This window comes from Homo sapiens, chromosome 14 (assembly GCF_000001405.40).
Source record: "Homo sapiens chromosome 14, GRCh38.p14 Primary Assembly".
Taxonomy (NCBI): Eukaryota; Metazoa; Chordata; class Mammalia; order Primates; family Hominidae; genus Homo; species Homo sapiens.
In genome coordinates this window covers 101216580-101223738 of record NC_000014.9, presented here as the reverse complement: position 1 = coordinate 101223738, position 7159 = coordinate 101216580, and the positions used below count along the sequence as shown (strand labels likewise).

The 7159-nt window shown below is 47.5% G+C and overlaps 1 pseudogene, besides 1 other annotated feature; it reads left to right on the top strand.

The window, feature by feature from the left end:
* Positions 1418 to 2194: an enhancer, noted in NCBI's record as "H3K4me1 hESC enhancer chr14:101687882-101688658 (GRCh37/hg19 assembly coordinates)". NCBI's record gives its function as "activates a minimal SCP1, AML or CMV promoter by ChIP-STARR-seq in primed H9 embryonic stem cells {active_cell/tissue: H9 hESC(primed)}" and the evidence as "EXISTENCE:reporter gene assay evidence [ECO:0000049][PMID:30033119]".
* LOC100128373 (AKT interacting protein pseudogene) lies at positions 5508 to 6352 on the top strand (annotated as a pseudogene).

Below are 7159 nucleotides of genomic sequence, written 5' to 3'. Positions count from 1 at the left end.
CAGATAAACCCCAAGGCCCACATGTCCAGGCACAGCGCTGAGTCACATGCAAAGAAACAGCAGTCCAGCAACCAGAGAGTTGAGAAGGAGTCCCAATCCTTGTTGCCAGCTTTGGAGAAAAACGTTTTAGGAGATGCCTTTCATAGTTCCAGCAAGGTCTCTGTGAAGCCCTCACTGTCTTCTCTCCCCAGTTCTCCCCTCTCTGATGCCCCTGTCGTCTTTCTCTCATCCCAACACTTACAAAAACTTGTCCTGGCCCCGTCGCAGGGCTCTTTCTCTCTCTGACAGCGCCCTCTCCCCCGGCTCTTTCTGATGCAGCTAGACTTGGCCTCCTGGCTTCTTTTTTTGTTTCCTTTCTGCTTTACCCATTCTCCATATTTCTGTGCAACAAAGGGGAGCCCTGGAACTCACCCAGCCAGGAGGAGCCCTCCTCCCTCTCTTGCCCTCTAGAGACCTCTCTCTTTGTGCTCTGTCTCCCAAATCTGCATCATAAAAACCCTTGAAACCCAGCTGGCAAATAGAGGGCTCTCCTTGGGGCTGGGGGAACAGAAAGGGTGAAGCCGAGCCAGGGAGGTCAAAATTCTCTTTATTCCACAGGGGATGGGGCCATTCACATGTTAATAAATCATATTCCCCTCGTGGAGCAAGGAAACCTTCTTACAAACTGCATTTTCACCCCTCACAATTGCTCCGTGAACAATTCTACAAATAAGGAAACTGAGGTGTGTGTTGTCAGGGAGGAGAGTTGGAGGGGGGCCGTGACTCAGAGAAGGCTGCCATGTGCAGGAGGACTGTCCCCAGGAGGGGCACACAGCCTGCTGTTTTAAAATCCCATACTATTCCCTATCCTGGGTTCCATCCATACATCCCAGAATGAAAGCTGGCCCAGACCTTGTGGCTCAGACAGCCTCGTGTGCAGCCAAGAATTGCTGACTGGAGGCACATATTCAGGGATGGGAGGAGGAAATTTCCAGGGTCTCAGTGAGTTCCCTTAAGCAGATTATATACAATTCCCTGCAAGCACCACATATACCGTTTTGTTCCTAATGTTGGCTAGATGAACTGTTCAGAAAAGTTCAACCTCAACTCCTTGAAAAGCGTAGATCTGGAAGTGATTCCGGTTCCCGCACGCCCTCAGAGGATGCCCAGGCAGGCAGAGCTCTGGGGAAGCAGAGGCCGAGGGCAGCTCTCCACCAAGGCAGCTGGGGACACTGGATGGATGCAGGCCTTGGGTATAGGTGCAGCCGGCTGTGGGAACCGGTGTCCTCTCCTGACACCAGGCCTGCTTTTTAAGGTCCCTAACTACCTGAGTTTCACTGATGTGTTGTTCTTTGTTTTGGTTTAGTTGTGTTGTTTTTGTTTGTTTTATTTTGTTTTGTTTTGCCTCCTTCAGGGTTTATGGGTTGGGGAAAAAGAGGAAGCCAAAAAATTTTTTTTTTTACGTTTTACAAAAGTTTTAGTAAATTGTTCTTGTGCAACTGAAAAGCTGAAGGATTTGAAAGAAATCTATGGGCTAGGGTCAAAGTACCCAAATCAAGAACAGCTTCCTTACTCCCCACCAACCATATTCTTGTCTACCGCCCCCTCATGTGTCCTTTATAGACCTCAGGGCCACAGCCCAGGAGAGGGCACAGGCTGGGGACAAAGGGTTCTAGGCCCCCAGCAGGGGCAGGGGCAGCGGCAGGACAGATCCATGAGGATGGGGCAGGGTCTGAGGGGCCAAGGCAGAGTCACCGGCTGAGAGCATGCAGCGCCTTAGTGAGTTGCTGCTGCCATGACAAATTTCCAAAGCCTGGGCAGCCTACAGATAGCCCAGCTTTACTTCTACAAGTCCGGGAAGCTGGAAGTCAGGTTGCCAACATGGTCAGGTTCTGGGGAAGGCCCTCTCCTGGGCTGCAGACAGCTGTCGTCTCATTGTGTCCTCACATGGTAGAAAGAGGGTGAGAGAGCTCTCTGGGGCCCCTTTTAGAGGGCACTAATCTCATTCGTGAGGGCTCCACCCTCGTGACCTAGTCACCTCCCAAAGGCCCCACTTCCTAATATCATCACTTTGGGGGTTAGGATTTCAACATCGCATCTGGGGGGACACAACCATGCACTCCATAACAAAGAGGGAGACACACCGTGTAGGGAATGGGTCTGTCCATGGCAATGGGGCAGGGGGCTAGGAGTGTGAGTTGGGGACTATGCCCCAGGAAGCCCAGAAGAAGAGCAGAGTCACCTCCCATGACACTTCACATGTCATGGGAGGTGAGCTGTGACCAGGGAGGCTGCAAGGAAAGCCCCCATACTTCATGTGGTGGGGCCTGCCCAGCAACAGAGGCATCACTGGCAGGGCACGATCACTCCTGGAAAGAAGAGGTCACAGCATTTGGGCAGAAGCACCACTCAAGGGTAACTTAAGGCATGGCTCTCTTCTAGGGAGGGGCATGTGGCCACACCGCTGGCACCACTGACGTCCGAACACGGGCTAGGACCTCCCGCCATGGACTCAACTGTGGAAACACCGCGACCTTCTGGGAACACACAGATGATGGCCAGTGTGAGCTGTGCAGTTCGGCTGTCCTCGGTCACAAGAGGCCTGATGAGACCCAGACACTCACCAGGGAAAATGCGATTTCTCATTGGATCTTCCTTCTTGGTTTTGTAGAATAAACATTTGTCAGCTCTGGGAGCACGTATACCAATTAATTACCACTTGGACAGGCTCAGAGGCGCGTGCCATCTGAGGAGCCTGCTCATGGTCACGTTTTCCTCTCTGTGCTCTGCCCGGCCTTGGGGATCAAATTAGGGGGTGGGGTGGCTTTCAGGAGTCCAAGATGTGGAATGAGGCCTCTGTAAGGAAGTTGTGTTGGTTTCCTGGTGGCCTTTATAATTGCACTAGGGTTTTGGTGGGGCAGGTGGGAAGGAGGGAGGAAGCAGAAATGTCACCTTCCTGGTAAGACCCACCCGGACTGCCCTATTTACAAACGTACCCTCTGGTCACCATGATCCTAACGCACCCCTTAACCAGCTCTGTTGCTTTCTTGTTTTCCATAGCAGTGAATACTTCCAACATTCTGTACATAATTCATTGTTCTATTTTGTTTATTTTTTATTTTCTGGTTTAGACCACCTCACTGTCCTCGTGTCCACCCCGAGGGTCGAGCTGTCAGAGCTTGCTCTCCAGTGCAGCTCAAATGCATAGAAGTCACCTGGCTCTCGATAATCATTGGTATGGAATAAATATTTGACAGTCAGCAAATATTTGATGAACTTTTACCTCTCACTAGGAAGGATAACAGGGACTAGAATTCCCCTCCCTCCTGAAGCATCTAAAAATCTGGACAAAACATGTGAAATCAACAATTTTCAGACATGAGACATCAGACAGTTCAAGACGGTAATCCCTGAGACAAACAATGTGAGCCCTGCGATTGCGCCAGCTTGCTGTCTGGAGACAGTTTCCAGGCCATGGTGCAGGGAGGAGGACTGAGACAGAGCCAGGGTCTTTCTGAATTGAGATGGAACTGGGAGTCTGATGAGGCCGAGGCAGCTGGAGTCCACAGGACAGAAGAACGAGAGGCACAGAAAGGGAGTTTCTGAGATGTGCAGAGGGATCTCCCCCGACCCCTAGCATTCAGTAGAGGGCTGATCAGCACATGGGTGGGCAAACTGCATGGGAGGAAAGACCCACCCAGAAGCATTCGCAGCAACAGTGCCCATGCTCACGAAGGGCTGGGAGTAGTGCCTGTTCCCACCAGCCAGACTGGACAATCTCACAGCTTCTGGGCACCCAGGAGAGTACTCAGTAGGGTGTCAGCCCAGTAGTGGGGTGAAATTCACCCTAGACTAAATGATGCTCTGGTCCCACCTAACAGAACTTAAAACCAAGCCTCAAGAGGATCAAACTGTTTCTAAGTAACTTAACTGTGTCTGAAAACAGTATTTATAGGAATATAAACGTCAAGCACCTAACAAGGTAACATTTATGATGTCTGGGATTTAAGAAAAGATTACCCAGGCATGCAAAGAAACAGGAAAATATGCCCTATAATCAGGAGAAAACCCAATCAAGCAAAACTGATTCAGAAATACTAGAGATGATGGAATTAGTCAACCGGATGAGAAAACAATTATTATAATTCTAATTCTCCACGTTCAAGAAGCTTCAGGAAAGATTGAGCATGTTAAGTAGAGACATGTAATGAAAAGAGATGTAAGTCAAACTTCAAGAGCTGAAAATACAATTATCTTAGATGAAAAATATACTGGATGGGATTAACAGAAGATTAAATACCACAGAAGAAAAAAAGATTAGTTAACTTGAAGACATAATAATATAAACTATCCAAAATAAAACATATGGAAAAAACAAAAATTGAAAAAAAAATAAACAGAGAAGAAGGAAGCTATGGATAACTTCCAAAGACCCAAGGAATATGTAAACTAGAGCTTCTGGAACAGAGGAGGAGGAGAAAGAAAAAATATACATTGGAAAAAAATAAAGCAGAAAATTTTACAAATTTGATGAAAACTATACATACCAAGATCCAAGAAGTTTAATGAATCCCAAGTCCATGAAACGCGAGGAAAAGCACACCCAAGCACATCAGGGAAAATTGTAGAAAATAAAAAGCACACATTACATACAGAGGGACAAACGGAACGAGGAGAGCAGACGTCTCGTCAATAGCAATGCATGTGGGAAGACAATGGGTAAAGTCTTTATTGAAAAAAACAAATGATCAGCTTTCCATTCTATACCTAGCAAAGATATATTTCCAAAATGAAGGCAAGGCTGGGCACAGTGGCTCACACCTGTAATCCCAGCAGTTTGGGAGGCCGAGGTGAGTGGATCACTTGAGGTCTGGAGTTTGAGACCAGCCTGGCCAACATGATGAAACCCCGTCTCTACTAAAAATGCAAAAAATTAGCCGGGTGTGGTGGCAGGTGGCTTTAATCCAGGCTACTCGGGAGGCTGAAGCAGGAGAATTGCTTGAACCTGGGAGGTGGAGGTTGCACTGAGCTGAGATCGTGCCACTACACTCCATCCTGGGTGACACAGCGAGACTCTGTCAAAAAAAAAAAAAAAAAAAAAAAAAAAGGTAAAATAGACTTATTTAGCATGCAGAAGCTGAAAAGAATTTGTGAATTTGTGATCAGCAGGCCTGCACTACAAGAACTATTAAAGGAAGTCCTTCCAGCAGAAGGAAATGAATTACAAATAGATGCAGGGATATATGCAGCAGAAATAAGAGCACTGGGAATGGTGATTATGTGGATATATATTTTCCCATTATTCAAAATAGCTTTTTAAAATATAATTATGAGCCACTTGGTGCTGAAGTCACCTTAGGGACCCAGGGACATGGATCGGGGTGCTGACAGCCTTCAGCAGCTGAGGGCCCTGCATTGAAGGTCCTGGATGAAACGCACGGCCAGACCAACCGGGAAGGTGAATGCCAAGAATGGAAGTGTTTAATGATGCAGGTCATTGCGTTTCTTTGTCTGGAGTATGTTCAGAACCGTTTCTGAGCATGTCCACAAGCCAGTATGCAGATGATGATCTGATGGTGAAGAGACGACCTCAACGGGGTTCATGAAAACTAGTTCCCATGTACTGCTTGAAACAGCTGTCATCCGCAAAGCACTTTACCCAGCATGGACGCTCCACCTCTTGCCACAGCAGCACAGACAGCTAATGGCATACCTGCTTCTAGAAGACCCTTCTACCTGGAGGATCTTCCTGTGGCATCTACCTCCCTCATGAAGCAGAAGTCATCTGGCACCTGTGTGCAGTCATCTTATCGCTCTGCATTTGTGTAGGTTGGAACAGTTTCATTCAGCGTGGACTTTATCAAGACTGTGCATTTAGGCCTACAGTTCATATCCCTGATAACTATCTGGGTGGTGCCTGTCCACACTTGGTATTTGACGTTCCTCCCTTTCACACCCTCATTAATTCCATCTCTGTGAACTGGATGTGCAGAGAGATTTGCAAAGTAGAGGCGGAACCATAATTGCACTTGGGAAGTACCCATCAGTACAAAGAAACATTTCTTCAAGATTGATACAGCAAACCCCCTAAACCCAGAGGCTACAGTAGTGTGTGTGTACAGTAGTGCGTGTGTGTGTGTGTGTCCTTTTAAAAATAACGTGGTTGATGGTTTTAAGATGTGTCCCGCTTGTTTATTTGAGCAACCTAAAATAGCAGACCCACATTCCATTAGCTTTTCTCCATGGTATCCATCTGCACATCATGAAACCAGAGGGAAGAAGCTGGATGAGCTGCACAATAATTGTGTTCCTGCGATGTGTAAAGCCTGACTCAATGCCATCTTTCAGCAAGGAAGAAAAAACAGCAGCAACCTAGGAGATGCCGAATCTGTGGACCTTGGCCTGGTGAGAGCTGATCAATGGCAAGCACTGCCTATGAACATAGCAAGGTAAACACAGGCCACTGCTCCGCAGTAGAAAGGAAGCAACTATTGAGACACTCCACAGCTGGAAGAGAGCTCACGAGCATTGTGCTGGGTGAGAGCCACTAGTCTCCCAGAAACAGGGCGGTGGCTAGGGAGCATGGAAGGAAATCTTCACCATAGCCATGCGGTGACAGAGACAAGGTGGTGTGTACAGTGGTGTCCTCACCATCCTCAGCTTGTTTGGGAGGTATTTATTGGTGAGTTTCCAGGACCCTCAGGACATTCTGTGTCCTTCTGAGAACAAGGTAACACGTAAAAGCATTTTGTAAACTCTCTGTGAAAAGAAGGGGTTATGACCTCCAATGCCAGGGAATCTTCTCCCTTGAGATTCCCACGACCCTCTGGCTTGACTGCAGTGGTGAGATGGGGGTGTTGCAAGAGTTCATGGTCAGAGTCCACAGTGCTGTTGCGTGGCCCCAGGCAAATGACCGTTGGGGAAATAAGACAATCCTCCTGTCAAAAGACCCTTCTGTACCAAAATAGAAGAGAGAGAATGCAGTTTAATCTTAAGTAAGCACTGTGATATTCACATGCATGTAAGATAGCACAAAAGTGTCTCCAGAGACTGGACTTCAGAATTTCAACAGACGTGCACAGAAATGCAGAAAAGAGAAGAACGAAGCATTCTCCTATCTCCTAGACAGATAAGAGGACCCACTTGTCTATCTGTGAAAGATTTCCGAGGTCCTCTTAGG